Source organism: Homo sapiens, assembly GCF_000001405.40.
Source record: "Homo sapiens chromosome 22 unlocalized genomic scaffold, GRCh38.p14 Primary Assembly HSCHR22_UNLOCALIZED_CTG3".
Lineage (NCBI taxonomy): Eukaryota > Metazoa > Chordata > Mammalia > Primates > Hominidae > Homo > Homo sapiens.
The window spans coordinates 156,910-179,772 of NT_187388.1; the positions used below are offsets into that span (position 1 = coordinate 156,910).

General features: G+C 62.7%; 1 protein-coding gene and 4 pseudogenes across 1 annotated transcript; 3 read left to right on the forward strand and 2 right to left on the reverse strand.

Annotated features, from left to right (window-relative positions):
- Window positions 1-740: 740 nt before the first annotated feature.
- Window positions 741-3,196, reverse strand: LOC102724621 (cell division cycle protein 27 homolog; annotated as a pseudogene).
- Window positions 14,103-15,971, forward strand: RNA18SP4 (RNA, 18S ribosomal pseudogene 4; annotated as a pseudogene).
- On the reverse strand, window positions 14,668-17,137 carry LOC124905331 (translation initiation factor IF-2-like). The gene is made up of 2 exons (XM_047442803.1): window positions 17,127-17,137; window positions 14,668-16,743 (listed from the first exon to the last, which is right to left on the reverse strand). The coding sequence occupies exons 1-2, from the start codon at window positions 17,135-17,137 to the stop codon at window positions 15,969-15,971; spliced, it is 786 nt and encodes a 261-aa protein (XP_047298759.1). The 3' UTR covers window positions 14,668-15,968.
- On the forward strand, window positions 17,047-17,202 carry RNA5-8SP9 (RNA, 5.8S ribosomal pseudogene 9; annotated as a pseudogene).
- Window positions 18,398-22,863, forward strand: LOC124905332 (uncharacterized; annotated as a pseudogene).

A 22,863-nucleotide genomic window follows, 5' to 3' on the forward strand; every position in this document is an offset into this window, starting at 1 on the left:
GGGCAATGTAACTACTACAGCAAAATGAGATACGATCCATTAAACAACATATTCGCAAATCAAAAAGTGTTTCAGTAATATAATGCTTCAGATTTAGAAGCAAATCAAATGATAGAACTCCACTGCTGTAATAAGTCACCCCAAAGATCACCGTATCTGACAAAATAACTACCACAGGGTTATGACTTCAGAATCATACTTTCTCTTGATATTTACTTATGTATGTATTTATTTTTTTTAATTTATTTCTCTTGAGACGGCGTCTCGCTCTGTCGCCCAGGCTGGAGTGCGATGGTGTGATCTCGGCTCACTGCAACCGCCACCTCCCTGGGTTCAAGCGATTCTCCTGCCTCAGCCTCCCGAGTAGCTGGGACTACAGGTGCCCGCCACCACGCCCAGCTAATCTTTATACTTTTAATAGAGACGGGGTTTCACCGTGTCGGCCCGGATGGTCTCGATCTCTTGACCTCGTGACCCGCCCGCCTCGGCCTCCCAAAGTGCTGGGATGACAGGCGTGAGCCACTGAGCCCGGCCTTCTCTTGACGTTTAAACTATGAAGTCAGTCCAGAGAAACGCAATAAATGTCAACGGTGAGGATGGTGTTGAGGCAGAAGTAGGACCACACTTTTTCCTATCTTATTCAGTTGATAACAATATGACCTAGGTAGTAATTTCCTATGTGCCTACTTATACACGAGTACAAAAGAGTAAAACAGAGAGACTGCTAAATGAAAGGGTACGTGAAGTTCTTCATAGTAACTCCGTAAACTGGAACACTGTCAAAAAGCAGCAGCTAGTGAATTGTTTCCATGTATTTTTCTATTATCCAATAAGTGAACTATGCTATTCCTTTCCAGTCTCCCAAGCACTTCTTGTCCCCATCACCACTTCGGTGCTCGAAGAAAAAGTAACAAATCAAGGAACACAACTAAAGAAACACACACACAAACCAAAGACAACTACAGCGTCTGCAAAAGTTTGCTAGAAGACTGAAACTGTTGAGTATAAGGATCTGGTATTCTACGATCATGAGTTCACTTCAGAGTTTGTTCAAGACATACGTTTCGTAAGGAAACATCTTAGTTAGAAGTTATTCAGCAGTAGGTACCATCCCTAAGTATTTTTCACCAAATTCGTGACAATAAAGAGCTATCTAACCAGAAAAATTAGCGAGTACCGGCACCATCCATAGGGCTTTGTCTTTACGCTTCATTAGCACTTACCATGCCTTACAATGTCTAGGATTGACCCTGATAGCATTTCGAAAACAAGCTAATGCTTTGTCCAGTTCTTCAGTGAAGACAAGCTCACGCCCTAATGCGCTATAGGCATAAGCATCATTTGGATCCACTTCGAGAGTTCTCTGGAAGAATTGAATCGCAATATCGTGTTCCCGTTGCAGACCGAAACAGTTCCCTGCAGCACACCAGGCCTCTGGCTGGCGAATTTTTATCCATGTCTGTGAAGTCTTTGGACAGAACTGAAAGAGCAACCTCTTTCGGAGGATGCCAAAGTGTTGTAGAGTAGATCTCCATGCCTTCGACTCTGTAATTCTCAATCCTCCTAACCTCTGAGAATTGTCTTTCAGCTTGCGTGGACTCTGAAAGTTTACAATAGGCCCTTCCGATTTGGCACAGTACCCAACCGGTATTGCAGTGGTGAGAAGCTAGATGGCTCAAGATGCTGATAGCTTCTTTGCCGTGGTAAGAACACAAAGCTAAATAACCTTTCCCCCTTTCACGAAGAAGGCTCATCAAGCCTTCCGCTGCTGCTTTTTGTAGATTAAAAGCCTGAATCTGAGGCGCGATTGCGGCTATTTTCCCTTCTGAAATGACGGAAGAGTCCAATTTTGTCACTTCCAGGCTATCACTTATGTTCGGTGGAGTTATTGCTCCTTTATTAGTTTTACTTTTGGTTCTTCTGTTTGGGATTTTAGGTGGAAACTTCATTTTTAATTTTCTCCTATTCTCCTCGGTTGTGGAGCTGTCACTAGTCAAGAGTCGTGAATTTCTTCGAGGCGGTGCATTTGGGGGAGATGCCATAGTGGGGCTCAATACCTGAGGTGTTGCCCTTGTCGGCGGACCAGAACTTTGTGTTTTTGCAAGGACTGGAGTTACCTTTCGGCTCTTTCCCCTCTGCGAGAAGACAGACGGTGTTCCGGTTTGGCCGATTCTGGCAACAGGCTTTTTTGAAGGGGCTCCGGTGGATGGCACGTCAATGACAGACGGTGTCTCATACCAGTGCAGTTTTGTCAATAGGGTCCGTCTCCGGGACTTGGGGTTTCTAATGGCAAAATGCCAACACTTGGGGTTAATGGACTAACAGCTGCTGGTCCTCCTAATAAACTTCGACCAGTTTTTGGTTTATGTTGAACCTGTTTAGATCATATGGAAGTTCCTGTTCCCAGTGGGACAGTATCAGGTGAAAGGACAGCTGAATCGATAGAAGACACTGGGGAGTCTGTATTCAAGGAGTACTTTGAATTGGAAGATTCTAAATTCCATCCGTTTCATTCGACGGTGTCCTGGGGTGTTTCCGTAAGAACGGTCTCGGGCTGTCTGTGACATAAACTAGGACGAGGTCCAAGTGTTGTGGCGCAACACTTGGACAGGCAGTTGCTAAAGCTCTCTAGAGAGGTGAATCAAAATGTTTGGTCAGGATCTGGCTTTTCCCCCCTATTTCACATCATGATTCAAAGGGACACCAGAGGAAAGGATTTCAACGAAGGCTCTTTTGGTCACATTCTGATCCTTTGGTAAGCCGATCTGTCTTGCAATATACATGTCCCGACGATGGAAGGGGAAAGCGAGCTGAATCACCAAACTCAGGAACGATAATATCATCGTGGCTTTTCTGCTTATGAAACACTCCACCCGATAAGATTTGATCCCCTTCTGCAAGCTTGCTGAGATCAACACAACATTTCGCAAGCAGGCATTTGCATTGCGGGGTAGTACAACTGTGTCCTTTCAAGAGTCTATATGTTTTATAGGCCTTTCCTGAGCGGTAAGAACAGGTCGCCAGTAAGAACAAGGCTTCTTCTGAGTGTACTTCTGCATAAAGGCGTTCTGCGGGGGAAACCGCATCTCGGTAGGCATAGTGGTTTAGTGCTTGCCATATAGCAGCCTGGACGGGTCCCTGCAGCACCGCCATCCTCGAGGCTCAGGCCCACTTTCTGCAGTGCCACAGGCACCCCCCCCCCCCCCCCCCATAGCGGCTCCGGCCCGGCCAGCCCCGGCTCATTTAAAGGCACCAGCCGCCGTTACCGGGGGATGGGGGAGTCCGAGACAGAATGACTTCTTTATCCTGCTGACTCTGGAAAGCCCGGCGCCTTGTGATCCATTGCAAACCGAGAGTCACCTCGTGTTTAGAACACGGATCCACTCCCAAGTTCAGTGGGGGGATGTGAGGGGTGTGGCAGGTAGGACGAAGGACTCTCTTCCTTCTGATTCGGTCTGCACAGTGGGGCCTAGGGCTGGAGCTCTCTCCGTGCGGACCGCTGACTCCCTCTACCTTGGGTTCCCTCGGCCCCACCCTGGAACGCCGGGCCTTGGCAGATTCTGGCCCTTCCTGGCCCTTCAGTCGCTGTCAGAAACCCCATCTCATGCTCGGATGCCCCGAGTGACTGTGGCTCGCACCTCTCCGGAAACATTGGAAATCTCTCCTCTACGCGCGGCCACCTGAAACCACAGGAGCTCGGGACACACGTGCTTTCGGGAGAGAATGCTGAGAGTCTCTTGCCGACTCTCTCTTGACTTGAGTTCTTCGTGGGTGCGTGGTTAAGACGTAGTGAGACCAGATGTATTAACTCAGGCCGGGTGCTGGTGGCTCACGCCTGTAACCCCAACACTTTGGGAGGCCGAGGCCGTAGGATCCCTCGAGGAATCACCTAACCCTGGGGAGGTTGAGGTTGCAGTGAGTGAGCCATAGTTGTGTCACTGTGCTCCAGTCTGGGCGAAAGACAGAATGAGGCCCTGCCACAGGCAGGCAGGCAGGCAGGCAGGCAGAAAGACAACAGCTGTATTATGTTCTTCTCAGGGTAGGAAGCAAAAATAACAGAATACAGCACTTAATTAATTTTTTTTTTTCCCTTCGGACGGAGTTTCACTCTTGGTGCCCACGCTGGAGTGCAGTGGCACCATCTCGGCTCACCGCAACCTCCACCTCCCGCGTTCAAGCGATTCTCCTGCCTCAGCCTCCTGAGTAGCTGGGATTACAGGGAGGAGCCACCACACCCAGCTGATTTTGTATTGTTAGTAGAGACGGCATTTCTCCATGTGGGTCAGGCTGGTCTCGAACTGGCGACCCCAGTGGATCTGCCCGCCCCGGCCTCCCAAAGTGCTGGGGTGACAGGCGTGAGCCATCGTGACTGGCCGGCTACGTTTATTTATTTATTTTTTTAATTATTTTACTTTTTTTTAGTTTTCCATTTTAATCTATTTATTTATTTACATTTATTTATTTATTTATTTATTTACTTATTTATTTATTTTCGAGACAGACTCTCGCTCTGCTGCCCAGGCTGGAGTGCAGCGGCGTGATCTCGGCTCACTGCAAGCTCCGCCTCCCGGGTTCACGCCATTCTCCTGCCTCAGCCTCCCAAGTAGCTGGGACTACAGGCGCCCGCCACCGTGCCCGGCTAACTTTTTGTATTTTGAGTAGAGATGGGGTTTCACTGTGGTAGCCAGGATGGTCTCGATCTCCTGACCCCGTGATCCGTCCACCTCGGCCTCCCAAAGTGCTGGGATGACAGGCGTGAGCCACCGCCCCCGGCCTATTTATCTATTTATTAACTTTGAGTCCAGGTTATGAAACCAGTTAGTTTTTGTAATTTTTTTTTTTTTTTTTTTTTTTTTTTTTTGAGACGAGGTTTCACCGTGTTGCCAAGGCTTGGACCGAGGGATCCACCGGCCCTCGGCCTCCCAAAAGTGCGGGGATGACAGGCGCGAGCCTACCGCGCCCGGACCCCCCCTTTCCCCTTCCCCCGCTTGTCTTCCCGACAGACAGTTTCACGGCAGAGCGTTTGGCTGGCGTGCTTAAACTCATTCTAAATAGAAATTTGGGACGTCAGCTTCTGGCCTCACGGACTCTGAGCCGAGGAGTCCCCTGGTCTGTCTATCACAGGACCGTACACGTAAGGAGGAGAAAAATCGTAACGTTCAAAGTCAGTCATTTTGTGATACAGAAATACACGGATTCACCCAAAACACAGAAACCAGTCTTTTAGAAATGGCCTTAGCCCTGGTGTCCGTGCCAGTGATTCTTTTCGGTTTGGACCTTGACTGAGAGGATTCCCAGTCGGTCTCTCGTCTCTGGACGGAAGTTCCAGATGATCCGATGGGTGGGGGACTTAGGCTGCGTCCCCCCAGGAGCCCTGGTCGATTAGTTGTGGGGATCGCCTTGGAGGGCGCGGTGACCCACTGTGCTGTGGGAGCCTCCATCCTTCCCCCCACCCCCTCCCCAGGGGATCCCAATTCATTCCGGGCTGACACGCTCACTGGCAGGCGTCGGGCATCACCTAGCGGTCACTGTTACTCTGAAAACGGAGGCCTCACAGAGGAAGGGAGCACCAGGCCGCCTGCGCACAGCCTGGGGCAACTGTGTCTTCTCCACCGCCCCCGCCCCCACCTCCAAGTTCCTCCCTCCCTTGTTGCCTAGGAAATCGCCACTTTGACGACTGGGTCTGATTGACCTTTGATCAGGCAAAAACGAACAAACAGATAAATAAATAAAATAACACAAAAGTAACTAACTAAATAAAATAAGTCAATACAACCCATTACAATACAATAAGATACGATACGATAGGATGCGATAGGATACGATAGGATACAATACGATACGATACGATACAATACAATACAATACAATACAATACAATACAATACAATACAATACAATACAATACAATAGGCCGGGCGCGGTGGCTCATGCCTGTCATCCCGTCACTTTGGGATGCCGAGGTGGACGCATCACCTGAAGTCGGGAGTTGGAGACAAGCCCGACCAACATGGAGAAATCCCGTCTCAATTGAAAATACAAAACTAGCCGGGCGCGGTGGCACAGGCCTATAATCCCAGCTGCTAGGAAGGCTGAGGCAGGAGAATCGCTTGAACCTGGGAAGCGGAGGTTGCAGTGAGCCGAGATTGCGCCATCGCACTCCAGTCTGAGCAACAAGAGCGAAACTCCGTCTCAAAAATAAATACATAAATAAATACATACATACATACATACATACATAAATTAAAATAAATAAATAAAATAAAATAAATAAATGGGCCCTGCGCGGTGGCTCAAGCCTGTCATCCCCTCACTTTGGGAGGCCAAGGCCGGTGGATCAAGAGGCGGTCAGACCAACAGGGCCAGTATGGTGAAACCCCGTCTCTACTCACAATACACAACATTAGCCGGGCGCTGTGCTGTGCTGTACTGTCTGTAATCCCAGCTACTCGGGAGGCCGAGCTGAGGCAGGAGAATCGCTTGAACCTGGGAGGCGGAGGTTGCAGTGAGCCGAGATCGCGCCACTGCAACCCAGCCTGGGCGACAGAGCGAGACTCCGTCTCCAAAAAATGAAAATGAAAATGAAACGCAACAAAATAATTAAAAAGTGAGTTTCTGGGGAAAAAGAAGAAAAGAAAAAAGAAAAAAACAACAAAACAGAACAACCCCACCGTGACATACACGTACGCCTCTCGCCTTTCGAGGCCTCAAACACGTTAGGAATTATGCGTGATTTCTTTTTTTAACTTCATTTTATGTTATTATCATGATTGATGTTTCGAGACGGAGTCTCGGAGGCCCGCCCTCCCTGGTTGCCCAGACAACCCCGGGAGACAGACCCTGGCTGGGCCCGATTGTTCTTCTCCTTGGTCAGGGGTTTCCTTGTCTTTCTTCGTGTCTTTAACCCGCGTGGACTCTTCCGCTCGGGTTTGACAGATGGCAGCTCCACTTTAGGCCTTGTTGTTGTTGGGGACTTTCCTGATTCTCCCCAGATGTAGTGAAAGCAGGTAGATTTGCCTTGCCTGGACTTGCCTGGCCTTGCCTTTTCTTTCTTTCTTTCTTTATTACTTTCTCTTTTTCTTCTTCTTCTTCTTCTTCTTCTTCTTCTTCTTCTTCTTCTTCTTCTTCTTCTTTTTTTTTTGAGACAGAGTTTCACTCTTGTTGCCCAGGCTAGAGGGCAATGGCGCGATCTCGGCTCACCGCACCCTCCGCCTCCCAGGTTCAAGCGATTCTCCTGCCTCAGCCTCCTGATTAGCTGGGATTACAGGCATGGGCCACCGTGCCTGGCTGATGTTTGTACTTTTAGTAGAGACGGTGTTTTTCCATGTTGGTCAGGCTGGTCTCCCACTCCCAACCTCAGGTGGTCCGCCTGCCTTAGCCTCCCAAAGTGCTGGGATGACAGGCGTGAGCCACCGCGCCCAGCCTCTCTCTCTCTCTCTCTCTCTCTCTCTCTCTCTCTCTCTCTCGCTCGCTTGCTTGCTTGCTTTCGTGCTTTCTTGCTTTCCCGTTTTCTTGCTTTCTTTCTTTCTTTCGTTTCTTTCATGCTTGCTTTCTTGCTTGCTTGCTTGCTTTCGTGCTTTCTTGCTTTCCTGTTTTCTTTTTCTTTCTTTCTTTCTTTCTTTCTATTGTTTCTTTCTTGCTTGCTTTCTTGCTTGCTTGCTTGCTTTCGTGCTTTCTTGCTTTCCTGTTTTCTTTCTTTCTTTCTTTCTTTTGTTTCTTTCTTGCTTGCTTTCTTGCTTGCTTGCTTTCGTGCTTTCTTGTTTTCTCGCTTTCTTTCTTTCTTTTGTTTCTTTCCTGCTTGCTTTCTTGCTTGATTGCTTTCGTGCTTTCTTGCTTTCTTGTTTTCTTTCTTTCTTTTGTTTCTTTCTTTCTTGCTTCCTTGTTTTCTTGCTTTCTTGCTTGCTTGCTTTCGTGCTTTCTTGCTTTCTTGCTTTCTTTCTTTTGTTTCTTTCTTGCTTGCTTTCTTGCTTCCTTGTTTTCTTGCTTTCTTGCTTGCTTGCTTTCGTGCTTTCTTGCTTTCTTTTCTTTCTTTCTTTTCTTTTTCTTTCTTTCTTTCTTTCTTGCTTTCTTTTCTTTCATTCATTCCTTCTTTCTTTTCTTTCTTTCTTCCTTCCTTCCTTCCTTCCTTCCTTCCTTTCTTTCTTTCTTTCTGTTTCGTCCTTTTGAGACAGAGTTTCACTCTTGTTTCCACGGCTAGAGTGCAATGGCGCGATCTTGGCTCACCGCACCTTCCGCCTCCCGGGTTCGAGCGCTTCTCCTGCCTCAGCCTCCCGATTAGCGGGGATGACAGGGAGGCACCCCCACGCCTGGCTTGGCTGATGTTTGTGTTTTTAGTAGGCACGCCGTGTCTCTCCATGTTGCTCAGGCTGGTCTCCAACTCCCGACCTCCTGTGATGCGCCCACCTCGGCCTCTCGAAGTGCTGGGATGACGGGCGTGAGCCACCGTGCCCGGCCTGTTGACTCATTTCGCTTTTTTATTTCTTTCGTTTCCACGCGTTTACTTATATGTAGTAATGTAAACGTTTCTGTACGCTTATATGCAAACAACGACAACGTGTATCTCTGCATTGAATACTCTTGCGTATGGTAAATACGTATCGGTTGTATGGAAATAGACTTCTGTATGATAGATGTAGGTGTTTGTGTTATACAAATAAATACACATCGCTCTATAAAGAAGGGATCGTCGATAAAGACGTTTATTTTACGTATGAAAAGCGTCGTATTTATGTGTGTAAATGAACGAGCGTACGTAGTTATCTCTGTTTCCTTTCTTCCTCTCCTTCGTGTTTTTCTTCCTTCCTTTCTTCCTTTCTCTCCTTCTTTAGGTTTTTCTTCCTCTCTTCCTTTCCTTCTTTCTCTCTTTCTGTCCTTTTTTCCTTCGTGCTTTATTTCTCTTTCGTTCCCTGTCTTTCCTTCTTTTTTCTTTCCTCTCTGTTTCTTTTTCCCTTCTTTCCTTCGTTTCTTTCCTCATTCTTTCTCTCTTTTTCGTGTTTCTTTCCTTTCCGCCTGTCTTTTAAAAAATGGAGTGTTTCAGAAGTTTACTTTGTGTATCTACGTTTTCTAAATTGTCTCTCTTTTCTCCATTTTCTTCCTCCCTCCCTCCCTCCCTCCCTCCCTGCTCCCTTCCCTCCCTCCTTCCCTTTCGCCATCTGTCTCTTTTCCCCACTCCCCTCCCCCCGTCTGTCTCTGCGTGGATTCCGGAAGAGCCTACGCATTCTGCCTCTCCGTGTGTCTGCAGCGACCCGCGACCGAGTCCTTGTGTGTTCTTTCTCCCTCCCTCCCTCCCTCCCTCCCTCCCTCCCTCCCTCCCTCCCTGCTTCCGAGAGGCATCTCCAAACACCCACGCGCCGTGGGTTGTCTTCTGACTCTGTCGCGGTCGAGGCAGAGACGCGTTTTGGGCACCGTTTGTGTGGGGTTGGGGCAGAGGGGCTGCGTTTTCGGCCTCGGGAAGAGCTTCTCGACTCACGGTTTCGCTTTCGCGGTCCACGGGCCGCCCTGCCAGCCGGATCTGTCTCGCTGACGTCCGCGGCGGTTGTCGGGCTCCATCTGGCGGCCGCTTTGAGATCGTGCTCTCGGCTTCCGGAGCTGCGGTGGCAGCTGCCGAGGGAGGGGACCGTCCCCGCTGTGAGCTAGGCAGAGCTCCGGAAAGCCCGCGGTCGTCAGCCCGGCTGGCCCGGTGGCGCCAGAGCTGTGGCGCGTCGCTTGTGAGTCACAGCTCTGGCGTGCAGGTTTATGTGGGGGAGAGGCTGTCGCTGCGCTTCTGGGCCCGAGGCGGGCGTGGGGCTGCCCGGGCCGGTCGACCAGCGCGCCGTAGCTCCCGAGGCCCGAGCCGCGACCCGCGGGGACCCGCCGCGCGTGGCGCGGGAGGCTGGGGACGCCCTTCCCGGCCCGGTCGCGGGTCCGCGCTCATCCTGGCCGTCTGAGGCGGCGGCCGAATTCGTTTCCGAGTCCCCGTGGGGAGCCGGGGACCGTCCCGCCCCCGTCCCCCGGGTGCCGGGGAGCGGTCCCCGGGCCGGGCCGCGGTCCCTCTGCCGCGATCCTTTCTGGCGAGTCCCCGTGCGGAGTCGGAGAGCGCTCCCTGAGCGCGCGTGCGGCCCGAGAGGTCGCGCCTGGCCGGCCTTCGGTCCCTCGTGTGTCCCGGTCGTAGGAGGGGCCGGCCGAAAATGCTTCCGGCTCCCGCTCTGGAGACACGGGCCGGCCCCCTGCGTGTGGCACGGGCGGCCGGGAGGGCGTCCCCGGCCCGGCGCTGCTCCCGCGTGTGTCCTGGGGTTGACCAGAGGGCCCCGGGCGCTCCGTGTGTGGCTGCGATGGTGGCGTTTTTGGGGACAGGTGTCCGTGTCGCGCGTCGCCTGGGCCGGCGGCGTGGTCGGTGACGCGACCTCCCGGCCCCGGGGGAGGTATATCTTTCGCTCCGAGTCGGCATTTTGGGCCGCCGGGTTATTGCTGACACGCTGTCCTCTGGCGACCTGTCGCTGGAGAGGTTGGGCCTCCGGATGCGCGCGGGGCTCTGGCCTACCGGTGACCCGGCTAGCCGGCCGCGCTCCTGCTTGAGCCGCCTGCCGGGGCCCGCGGGCCTGCTGTTCTCTCGCGCGTCCGAGCGTCCCGACTCCCGGTGCCGGCCCGGGTCCGGGTCTCTGACCCACCCGGGGGGCGGCGGGGAAGGCGGCGAGGGCCACCGTGCCCCCGTGCGCTCTCCGCTGCGGGCGCCCGGGGCGGCCGCGACAACCCCACCCCGCTGGCTCCGTGCCGTGCGTGTCAGGCGTTCTCGTCTCCGCGGGGTTGTCCGCCGCCCCTTCCCCGGAGTGGGGGGTTGGCCGGAGCCGATCGGCTCGCTGGCCGGCCGGCCGGCCTCCGCTCCCGGGGGGCTCTTCGTGATCGATGTGGTGACGTCGTGCTCTCCCGGGCCGGGTCCGAGCCGCGACGGGCGAGGGGCGGACGTTCGTGGCGAACGGGACCGTCCTTCTCGCTCCGCCCCGCGGGGGTCCCCTCGTCTCTCCTCTCCCCGCCCGCCGGCGGTGCGTGTGGGAAGGCGTGGGGTGCGGACCCCGGCCCGACCTCGCCGTCCCGCCCGCCGCCTTCTGCGTCGCGGGGCGGGCCGGCGGGGTCCTCCGACGCGGCAGACAGCCCTCGCTGTCGCCTCCAGTGGTTGTCGACTTGCGGGCGGCCCCCCTCCGCGGCGGTGGGGGTGCCGTCCCGCCGGCCCGTCGTGCTGCCCTCTCGGGGGGGTTTGCGCGAGCGTCGGCTCCGCCTGGGCCCTTGCGGTGCTCCTGGAGCGCTCCGGGTTGTCCCTCAGGTGCCCGAGGCCGAACGGTGGTGTGTCGTTCCCGCCCCCGGCGCCCCCTCCTCCGGTCGCCGCCGCGGTGTCCGCGCGTGGGTCCTGAGGGAGCTCGTCGGTGTGGGGTTCGAGGCGGTTTGAGTGAGACGAGACGAGACGCGCCCCTCCCACGCGGGGAAGGGCGCCCGCCTGCTCTCGGTGAGCGCACGTCCCGTGCTCCCCTCTGGCGGGTGCGCGCGGGCCGTGTGAGCGATCGCGGTGGGTTCGGGCCGGTGTGACGCGTGCGCCGGCCGGCCGCCGAGGGGCTGCCGTTCTGCCTCCGACCGGTCGTGTGTGGGTTGACTTCGGAGGCGCTCTGCCTCGGAAGGAAGGAGGTGGGTGGACGGGGGGGCCTGGTGGGGTTGCGCGCACGCGCGCACCGGCCGGGCCCCCGCCCTGAACGCGAACGCTCGAGGTGGCCGCGCGCAGGTGTTTCCTCGTACCGCAGGGCCCCCTCCCTTCCCCAGGCGTCCCTCGGCGCCTCTGCGGGCCCGAGGAGGAGCGGCTGGCGGGTGGGGGGAGTGTGACCCACCCTCGGTGAGAAAAGCCTTCTCTAGCGATCTGAGAGGCGTGCCTTGGGGGTACCGGATCCCCCGGGCCGCCGCCTCTGTCTCTGCCTCCGTTATGGTAGCGCTGCCGTTAGCGACCCGCTCGCAGAGGACCCTCCTCCGCTTCCCCCTCGACGGGGTTGGGGGGGAGAAGCGAGGGTTCCGCCGGCCACCGCGGTGGTGGCCGAGTGCGGCTCGTCGCCTACTGTGGCCCGCGCCTCCCCCCTTCCGAGTCGGGGGAGGATCCCGCCGGGCCGGGCCCGGCGTTCCCAGCGGGTTGGGACGCGGCGGCCGGCGGGCGGTGGGTGTGCGCGCCCGGCGCTCTGTCCGGCGCGTGACCCCCTCCGCCGCGAGTCGGCTCTCCGCCCGCTCCCGTGCCGAGTCGTGACCGGTGCCGACGACCGCGTTTGCGTGGCACGGGGTCGGGCCCGCCTGGCCCTGGGAAAGCGTCCCACGGTGGGGGCGCGCCGGTCTCCCGGAGCGGGACCGGGTCGGAGGATGGACGAGAATCACGAGCGACGGTGGTGCGGGCGTGTCGGGTTCGTGGCTGCGGTCGCTCCGGGGCCCCCGGTGGCGGGGCCCCGGGGCTCGCGAGGCGGTTCTCGGTGGGGGCCGAGGGCCGTCCGGCGTCCCAGGCGGGGCGCCGCGGGACCGCCCTCGTGTCTGTGGCGGTGGGATCCCGCGGCCGTGTTTTCCTGGTGGCCCGGCCGTGCCTGAGGTTTCTCCCCGAGCCGCCGCCTCTGCGGGCTCCCGGGTGCCCTTGCCCTCGCGGTCCCCGGCCCTCGCCCGTCTGTGCCCTCTTCCCCGCCCGCCGCCCGCCGATCCTCTTCTTCCCCCCGAGCGGCTCACCGGCTTCACGTCCGTTGGTGGCCCCGCCTGGGACCGAACCCGGCACCGCCTCGTGGGGCGCCGCCGCCGGCCACTGATCGGCCCGGCGTCCGCGTCCCCCGGCGCGCGCCTTGGGGACCGGGTCGGTGGCGCCCCGCGTGGGGCCCGGTGGGCTTCCCGGAGGGTTCCGGGGGTCGGCCTGCGGCGCGTGCGGGGGAGGAGACGGTTCCGGGGGACCGGCCGCGACTGCGGCGGCGGTGGTGGGGGGAGCCGCGGGGATCGCCGAGGGCCGGTCGGCCGCCCCGGGTGCCGCGCGGTGCCGCCGGCGGCGGTGAGGCCCCGCGCGTGTGTCCCGGCTGCGGTCGGCCGCGCTCGCGGGGTCCCCGTGGCGTCCCCTTCCCCGCCGGCCGCCTTTCTCGCGCCTTCCCCGTCGCCCCGGCCTCGCCCGTGGTCTCTCGTCTTCTCCCGGCCCGCTCTTCCGAACCGGGTCGGCGCGTCCCCCGGGTGCGCCTCGCTTCCCGGGCCTGCCGCGGCCCTTCCCCGAGGCGTCCGTCCCGGGCGTCGGCGTCGGGGAGAGCCCGTCCTCCCCGCGTGGCGTCGCCCCGTTCGGCGCGCGCGTGCGCCCGAGCGCGGCCCGGTGGTCCCTCCCGGACAGGCGTTCGTGCGACGTGTGGCGTGGGTCGACCTCCGCCTTGCCGGTCGCTCGCCCTTTCCCCGGGTCGGGGGGTGGGGCCCGGGCCGGGGCCTCGGCCCCGGTCGCGGTCCCCCGTCCCGGGCGGGGGCGGGCGCGCCGGCCGGCCTCGGTCGGCCCTCCCTTGGCCGTCGTGTGGCGTGTGCCACCCCTGCGCCCGCGCCCGCCGGCGGGGCTCGGAGCCGGGCTTCGGCCGGGCCCCGGGCCCTCGACCGGACCGGTGCGCGGGCGCTGCGGCCGCACGGCGCGACTGTCCCCGGGCCGGGCACCGCGGTCCGCCTCTCGCTCGCCGCCCGGACGTCGGGGCCGCCCCGCGGGGCGGGCGGAGCGCCGTCCCCGCCTCGCCGCCGCCCGCGGGCGCCGGCCGCGCGCGCGCGCGCGTGGCCGCCGGTCCCTCCCGGCCGCCGGGCGCGGGTCGGGCCGTCCGCCTCCTCGCGGGCGGGCGCGACGAAGAAGCGTCGCGGGTCTGTGGCGCGGGGCCCCGGTGGTCGTGTCGCGTGGGGGGCGGGTGGTTGGGGCGTCCGGTTCGCCGCGCCCCGCCCCGGCCCCACCGGTCCCGGCCGCCGCCCCCGCGCCCGCTCGCTCCCTCCCGTCCGCCCGTCCGCGGCCCGTCCGTCCGTCCGTCGTCCTCCTCGCTTGCGGGGCGCCGGGCCCGTCCTCGCGAGGCCCCCCGGCCGGCCGTCCGGCCGCGTCGGGGCCTCGCCGCGCTCTACCTACCTACCTGGTTGATCCTGCCAGTAGCATATGCTTGTCTCAAAGATTAAGCCATGCATGTCTAAGTACGCACGGCCGGTACAGTGAAACTGCGAATGGCTCATTAAATCAGTTATGGTTCCTTTGGTCGCTCGCTCCTCTCCTACTTGGATAACTGTGGTAATTCTAGAGCTAATACATGCCGACGGGCGCTGACCCCCTTCGCGGGGGGGATGCGTGCATTTATCAGATCAAAACCAACCCGGTCAGCCCCTCTCCGGCCCCGGCCGGGGGGCGGGCGCCGGCGGCTTTGGTGACTCTAGATAACCTCGGGCCGATCGCACGCCCCCCGTGGCGGCGACGACCCATTCGAACGTCTGCCCTATCAACTTTCGATGGTAGTCGCCGTGCCTACCATGGTGACCACGGGTGACGGGGAATCAGGGTTCGATTCCGGAGAGGGAGCCTGAGAAACGGCTACCACATCCAAGGAAGGCAGCAGGCGCGCAAATTACCCACTCCCGACCCGGGGAGGTAGTGACGAAAAATAACAATACAGGACTCTTTCGAGGCCCTGTAATTGGAATGAGTCCACTTTAAATCCTTTAACGAGGATCCATTGGAGGGCAAGTCTGGTGCCAGCAGCCGCGGTAATTCCAGCTCCAATAGCGTATATTAAAGTTGCTGCAGTTAAAAAGCTCGTAGTTGGATCTTGGGAGCGGGCGGGCGGTCCGCCGCGAGGCGAGCCACCGCCCGTCCCCGCCCCTTGCCTCTCGGCGCCCCCTCGATGCTCTTAGCTGAGTGTCCCGCGGGGCCCGAAGCGTTTACTTTGAAAAAATTAGAGTGTTCAAAGCAGGCCCGAGCCGCCTGGATACCGCAGCTAGGAATAATGGAATAGGACCGCGGTTCTATTTTGTTGGTTTTCGGAACTGAGGCCATGATTAAGAGGGACGGCCGGGGGCATTCGTATTGCGCCGCTAGAGGTGAAATTCTTGGACCGGCGCAAGACGGACCAGAGCGAAAGCATTTGCCAAGAATGTTTTCATTAATCAAGAACGAAAGTCGGAGGTTCGAAGACGATCAGATACCGTCGTAGTTCCGACCATAAACGATGCCGACCGGCGATGCGGCGGCGTTATTCCCATGACCCGCCGGGCAGCTTCCGGGAAACCAAAGTCTTTGGGTTCCGGGGGGAGTATGGTTGCAAAGCTGAAACTTAAAGGAATTGACGGAAGGGCACCACCAGGAGTGGAGCCTGCGGCTTAATTTGACTCAACACGGGAAACCTCACCCGGCCCGGACACGGACAGGATTGACAGATTGATAGCTCTTTCTCGATTCCGTGGGTGGTGGTGCATGGCCGTTCTTAGTTGGTGGAGCGATTTGTCTGGTTAATTCCGATAACGAACGAGACTCTGGCATGCTAACTAGTTACGCGACCCCCGAGCGGTCGGCGTCCCCCAACTTCTTAGAGGGACAAGTGGCGTTCAGCCACCCGAGATTGAGCAATAACAGGTCTGTGATGCCCTTAGATGTCCGGGGCTGCACGCGCGCTACACTGACTGGCTCAGCGTGTGCCTACCCTACGCCGGCAGGCGCGGGTAACCCGTTGAACCCCATTCGTGATGGGGATCGGGGATTGCAATTATTCCCCATGAACGAGGAATTCCCAGTAAGTGCGGGTCATAAGCTTGCGTTGATTAAGTCCCTGCCCTTTGTACACACCGCCCGTCGCTACTACCGATTGGATGGTTTAGTGAGGCCCTCGGATCGGCCCCGCCGGGGTCGGCCCACGGCCCTGGCGGAGCGCTGAGAAGACGGTCGAACTTGACTATCTAGAGGAAGTAAAAGTCGTAACAAGGTTTCCGTAGGTGAACCTGCGGAAGGATCATTAACGGAGCCCGGAGGGCGAGGCCCGCGGCGGCGCCGCCGCCGCCGCGCGCTTCCCTCCGCACACCCGCCCCCCCACCGCGACGCGGCGCGTGCGCGGGCGGGGCCCGCGTGCCCGTTCGTTCGCTCGCTCGTTCGTTCGCCGCCCGGCCCCGCCGGCCGCGAGAGCCGGAGAACTCGGGAGGGAGACGGGGGGGAGAGAGAGAGAGAGAGAGAGAAAGAAGGGCGTGTCGTTGGTGTGCGCGTGTCGTGGGGCCGGCGGGCGGCGGGGAGCGGTCCCCGGCCGCGGCCCCGACGACGTGGGTGTCGGCGGGCGCGGGGGCGGTTCTCGGCGGCGTCGCGGCGGGTCTGGGGGGTCTCGGTGCCCTCCTCCCCGCCGGGGCCCGTCGTCCGGCCCCGCCGCGCCGGCTCCCCGTCTTCGGGGCCGGCCGGATTCCCGTCGCCTCCGCCGCGCCGCTCCGCGCCGCCGGGCACGGCCCCGCTCGCTCTCCCCGGCCTTCCCGCTAGGGCGTCTCGAGGGTCGGGGGCCGGACGCCGGTCCCCTCCCCCGCCTCCTCGTCCGCCCCCCCGCCGTCCAGGTACCTAGCGCGTTCCGGCGCGGAGGTTTAAAGACCCCTTGGGGGGATCGCCCGTCCGCCCGTGGGTCGGGGGCGGTGGTGGGCCCGCGGGGGAGTCCCGTCGGGAGGGGCCCGGCCCCTCCCGCGCCTCCACCGCGGACTCCGCTCCCCGGCCGGGGCCGCGCCGCCGCCGCCGCCGCGGCGGCCGTCGGGTGGGGGCTTTACCCGGCGGCCGTCGCGCGCCTGCCGCGCGTGTGGCGTGCGCCCCGCGCCGTGGGGGCGGGAACCCCCGGGCGCCTGTGGGGTGGTGTCCGCGCTCGCCCCCGCGTGGGCGGCGCGCGCCTCCCCGTGGTGTGAAACCTTCCGACCCCTCTCCGGAGTCCGGTCCCGTTTGCTGTCTCGTCTGGCCGGCCTGAGGCAACCCCCTCTCCTCTTGGGCGGGGGGGGGGGGGACGTGCCGCGCCAGGAAGGGCCTCCTCCCGGTGCGTCGTCGGGAGCGCCCTCGCCAAATCGACCTCGTACGACTCTTAGCGGTGGATCACTCGGCTCGTGCGTCGATGAAGAACGCAGCTAGCTGCGAGAATTAATGTGAATTGCAGGACACATTGATCATCGACACTTCGAACGCACTTGCGGCCCCGGGTTCCTCCCGGGGCTACGCCTGTCTGAGCGTCGCTTGCCGATCAATCGCCCCCGGGGGTGCCTCCGGGCTCCTCGGGGTGCGCGGCTGGGGGTTCCCTCGCAGGGCCCGCCGGGGGCCCTCCGTCCCCCTAAGCGCAGACCCGGCGGCGTCCGCCCTCCCCTTGCCGCCGCGCCCGCCCCTTCCCCCTCCCCCCGCGGGCCCTGCGTGGTCACGCGTCGGGTGGCGGGGGGGAGAGGGGGGCGCGCCCGGCTGAGAGAGACGGGGAGGGCGGCGCCGCCGCCGCCCGCGAAGACGGAGAGGGAAAGAGAGAGCCGGCTCGGGCCGAGTTCCCGTGGCCGCCGCCTGCGGTCCGGGTTCCTCCCTCGGGGGGCTCCCTCGCGCCGCGCGCGGCTCGGGGTTCGGGGTTCGTCGGCCCCGGCCGGGTGGAAGGTCCCGTGCCCGTCGTCGTCGTCGTCGTCGCGCGTCGTCGGCGGTGGGGGCGTGTTGCGTGCGGTGTGGTGGTGGGGGAGGAGGAAGGCGGGTCCGGAAGGGGAAGGGTGCCGGCGGGGAGAGAGGGTCGGGGGAGCGCGTCCCGGTCGCCGCGGTTCGCCGCCCGCCCCCGGTGGCGGCCCGGCGTCCGGCCGACCGCCGCTCCCGCGCCCCTCCTCCTCCCCGCCGCCCCTCCTCCGAGGCCCCGCCCGTCCTCCTCGCCCTCCCCGCGCGTACGCGCGCGCGCCCGCCCGCCCGGCTCGCCTCGCGGCGCGTCGGCCGGGGCCGGGAGCCCGCCCCGCGGCCCGCCCGGCCGCGCCCGTGGCCGCGGCGCCGGGGTTCGCGTGTCCCCGGCGGCGACCCGCGGGACGCCGCGGTGTCGTCCGCCGTCGCGCGCCCGCCTCCGGCTCGCGGCCGCGCCGCGCCGCGCCGGGGCCCCGTCCCGAGCTTCCGCGTCGGGGCGGGGCGGCTCCGCCGCCGCGTCCTCGGACCCGTCCCCCCGACCTCCGCGGGGGAGACGGGTCGGGGCGTGCGGCGCCCGTCCCGCCCCCGGCCCGTGCCCCTCCCTCCGGTCGTCCCGCTCCGGCGGGGCGGCGCGGGGGCGCCGTCGGCCGCGCGCTCTCTCTCCCGTCGCCTCTCCCCCTCGCCGGGCCCGTCTCCCGACGGAGCGTCGGGCGGGCGGTCGGGCCGGCGCGATTCCGTCCGTCCGTCCGCCGAGCGGCCCGTCCCCCTCCGAGACGCGACCTCAGATCAGACGTGGCGACCCGCTGAATTTAAGCATATTAGTCAGCGGAGGAGAAGAAACTAACCAGGATTCCCTCAGTAACGGCGAGTGAACAGGGAAGAGCCCAGCGCCGAATCCCCGCCCCGCGGCGGGGCGCGGGACATGTGGCGTACGGAAGACCCGCTCCCCGGCGCCGCTCGTGGGGGGCCCAAGTCCTTCTGATCGAGGCCCAGCCCGTGGACGGTGTGAGGCCGGTAGCGGCCCCCGGCGCGCCGGGCCCGGGTCTTCCCGGAGTCGGGTTGCTTGGGAATGCAGCCCAAAGCGGGTGGTAAACTCCATCTAAGGCTAAATACCGGCACGAGACCGATAGTCAACAAGTACCGTAAGGGAAAGTTGAAAAGAACTTTGAAGAGAGAGTTCAAGAGGGCGTGAAACCGTTAAGAGGTAAACGGGTGGGGTCCGCGCAGTCCGCCCGGAGGATTCAACCCGGCGGCGGGTCCGGCCGTGTCGGCGGCCCGGCGGATCTTTCCCGCCCCCCGTTCCTCCCGACCCCTCCACCCGCCCTCCCTTCCCCCGCCGCCCCTCCTCCTCCTCCCCGGAGGGGGCGGGCTCCGGCGGGTGCGGGGGTGGGCGGGCGGGGCCGGGGGTGGGGTCGGCGGGGGACCGTCCCCCGACCGGCGACCGGCCGCCGCCGGGCGCATTTCCACCGCGGCGGTGCGCCGCGACCGGCTCCGGGACGGCTGGGAAGGCCCGGCGGGGAAGGTGGCTCGGGGGGCCCCGTCCGTCCGTCCGTCCGTCCTCCTCCTCCCCCGTCTCCGCCCCCCGGCCCCGCGTCCTCCCTCGGGAGGGCGCGCGGGTCGGGGCGGCGGCGGCGGCGGCGGTGGCGGCGGCGGCGGCGGCGGCGGGACCGAAACCCCCCCCGAGTGTTACAGCCCCCCCGGCAGCAGCACTCGCCGAATCCCGGGGCCGAGGGAGCGAGACCCGTCGCCGCGCTCTCCCCCCTCCCGGCGCCCACCCCCGCGGGGAATCCCCCGCGAGGGGGGTCTCCCCCGCGGGGGCGCGCCGGCGTCTCCTCGTGGGGGGGCCGGGCCACCCCTCCCACGGCGCGACCGCTCTCCCACCCCTCCTCCCCGCGCCCCCGCCCCGGCGACGGGGGGGGTGCCGCGCGCGGGTCGGGGGGCGGGGCGGACTGTCCCCAGTGCGCCCCGGGCGGGTCGCGCCGTCGGGCCCGGGGGAGGTTCTCTCGGGGCCACGCGCGCGTCCCCCGAAGAGGGGGACGGCGGAGCGAGCGCACGGGGTCGGCGGCGACGTCGGCTACCCACCCGACCCGTCTTGAAACACGGACCAAGGAGTCTAACACGTGCGCGAGTCGGGGGCTCGCACGAAAGCCGCCGTGGCGCAATGAAGGTGAAGGCCGGCGCGCTCGCCGGCCGAGGTGGGATCCCGAGGCCTCTCCAGTCCGCCGAGGGCGCACCACCGGCCCGTCTCGCCCGCCGCGCCGGGGAGGTGGAGCACGAGCGCACGTGTTAGGACCCGAAAGATGGTGAACTATGCCTGGGCAGGGCGAAGCCAGAGGAAACTCTGGTGGAGGTCCGTAGCGGTCCTGACGTGCAAATCGGTCGTCCGACCTGGGTATAGGGGCGAAAGACTAATCGAACCATCTAGTAGCTGGTTCCCTCCGAAGTTTCCCTCAGGATAGCTGGCGCTCTCGCAGACCCGACGCACCCCCGCCACGCAGTTTTATCCGGTAAAGCGAATGATTAGAGGTCTTGGGGCCGAAACGATCTCAACCTATTCTCAAACTTTAAATGGGTAAGAAGCCCGGCTCGCTGGCGTGGAGCCGGGCGTGGAATGCGAGTGCCTAGTGGGCCACTTTTGGTAAGCAGAACTGGCGCTGCGGGATGAACCGAACGCCGGGTTAAGGCGCCCGATGCCGACGCTCATCAGACCCCAGAAAAGGTGTTGGTTGATATAGACAGCAGGACGGTGGCCATGGAAGTCGGAATCCGCTAAGGAGTGTGTAACAACTCACCTGCCGAATCAACTAGCCCTGAAAATGGATGGCGCTGGAGCGTCGGGCCCATACCCGGCCGTCGCCGGCAGTCGAGAGTGGACGGGAGCGGCGGGGGCGGCGCGCGCGCGCGCGCGTGTGGTGTGCGTCGGAGGGCGGCGGCGGCGGCGGCGGCGGGGGTGTGGGGTCCTCCCCCGCCCCCCCCCCCACGCCTCCTCCCCTCCTCCCGCCCACGCCCCGCTCCCCGCCCCCGGAGCCCCGCGGACGCTACGCCGCGACGAGTAGGAGGGCCGCTGCGGTGAGCCTTGAAGCCTAGGGCGCGGGCCCGGGTGGAGCCGCCGCAGGTGCAGATCTTGGTGGTAGTAGCAAATATTCAAACGAGAACTTTGAAGGCCGAAGTGGAGAAGGGTTCCATGTGAACAGCAGTTGAACATGGGTCAGTCGGTCCTGAGAGATGGGCGAGCGCCGTTCCGAAGGGACGGGCGATGGCCTCCGTTGCCCTCGGCCGATCGAAAGGGAGTCGGGTTCAGATCCCCGAATCCGGAGTGGCGGAGATGGGCGCCGCGAGGCGTCCAGTGCGGTAACGCGACCGATCCCGGAGAAGCCGGCGGGAGCCCCGGGGAGAGTTCTCTTTTCTTTGTGAAGGGCAGGGCGCCCTGGAATGGGTTCGCCCCGAGAGAGGGGCCCGTGCCTTGGAAAGCGTCGCGGTTCCGGCGGCGTCCGGTGAGCTCTCGCTGGCCCTTGAAAATCCGGGGGAGAGGGTGTAAATCTCGCGCCGGGCCGTACCCATATCCGCAGCAGGTCTCCAAGGTGAACAGCCTCTGGCATGTTGGAACAATGTAGGTAAGGGAAGTCGGCAAGCCGGATCCGTAACTTCGGGATAAGGATTGGCTCTAAGGGCTGGGTCGGTCGGGCTGGGGCGCGAAGCGGGGCTGGGCGCGCGCCGCGGCTGGACGAGGCGCCGCCGCCCCCCCCACGCCCGGGGCACCCCCCTCGCGGCCCTCCCCCGCCCCACCCCGCGCGCGCCGCTCGCTCCCTCCCCACCCCGCGCCCTCTCTCTCTCTCTCTCCCCCGCTCCCCGTCCTCCCCCCTCCCCGGGGGAGCGCCGCGTGGGGGCGGCGGCGGGGGGAGAAGGGTCGGGGCGGCAGGGGCCGGCGGCGGCCGCCGCGGGGCCCCGGCGGCGGGGGCACGGTCCCCCGCGAGGGGGGCCCGGGCACCCGGGGGGCCGGCGGCGGCGGCGACTCTGGACGCGAGCCGGGCCCTTCCCGTGGATCGCCCCAGCTGCGGCGGGCGTCGCGGCCGCCCCCGGGGAGCCCGGCGGGCGCCGGCGCGCCCCCCCCACCCCCACCCCACGTCTCGTCGCGCGCGCGTCCGCTGGGGGCGGGGAGCGGTCGGGCGGCGGCGGCGGTCGGCGGGCGGCGGGGCGGGGCGGTTCGTCCCCCCGCCCTACCCCCCCGGCCCCGTCCGCCCCCCGTTCCCCCCTCCTCCTCGGCGCGCGGCGGCGGCGGCGGCGGCGGGCGGCGGAGGGGCCGCGGGCCGGTCCCCCCCGCCGGGTCCGCCCCCGGGGCCGCGGTTCCGCGCGGCGCCTCGCCTCGGCCGGCGCCTAGCAGCCGACTTAGAACTGGTGCGGACCAGGGGAATCCGACTGTTTAATTAAAACAAAGCATCGCGAAGGCCCGCGGCGGGTGTTGACGCGATGTGATTTCTGCCCAGTGCTCTGAATGTCAAAGTGAAGAAATTCAATGAAGCGCGGGTAAACGGCGGGAGTAACTATGACTCTCTTAAGGTAGCCAAATGCCTCGTCATCTAATTAGTGACGCGCATGAATGGATGAACGAGATTCCCACTGTCCCTACCTACTATCCAGCGAAACCACAGCCAAGGGAACGGGCTTGGCGGAATCAGCGGGGAAAGAAGACCCTGTTGAGCTTGACTCTAGTCTGGCACGGTGAAGAGACATGAGAGGTGTAGAATAAGTGGGAGGCCCCCGGCGCCCCCCCGGTGTCCCCGCGAGGGGCCCGGGGCGGGGTCCGCCGGCCCTGCGGGCCGCCGGTGAAATACCACTACTCTGATCGTTTTTTCACTGACCCGGTGAGGCGGGGGGGCGAGCCCCGAGGGGCTCTCGCTTCTGGCGCCAAGCGCCCGGCCGCGCGCCGGCCGGGCGCGACCCGCTCCGGGGACAGTGCCAGGTGGGGAGTTTGACTGGGGCGGTACACCTGTCAAACGGTAACGCAGGTGTCCTAAGGCGAGCTCAGGGAGGACAGAAACCTCCCGTGGAGCAGAAGGGCAAAAGCTCGCTTGATCTTGATTTTCAGTACGAATACAGACCGTGAAAGCGGGGCCTCACGATCCTTCTGACCTTTTGGGTTTTAAGCAGGAGGTGTCAGAAAAGTTACCACAGGGATAACTGGCTTGTGGCGGCCAAGCGTTCATAGCGACGTCGCTTTTTGATCCTTCGATGTCGGCTCTTCCTATCATTGTGAAGCAGAATTC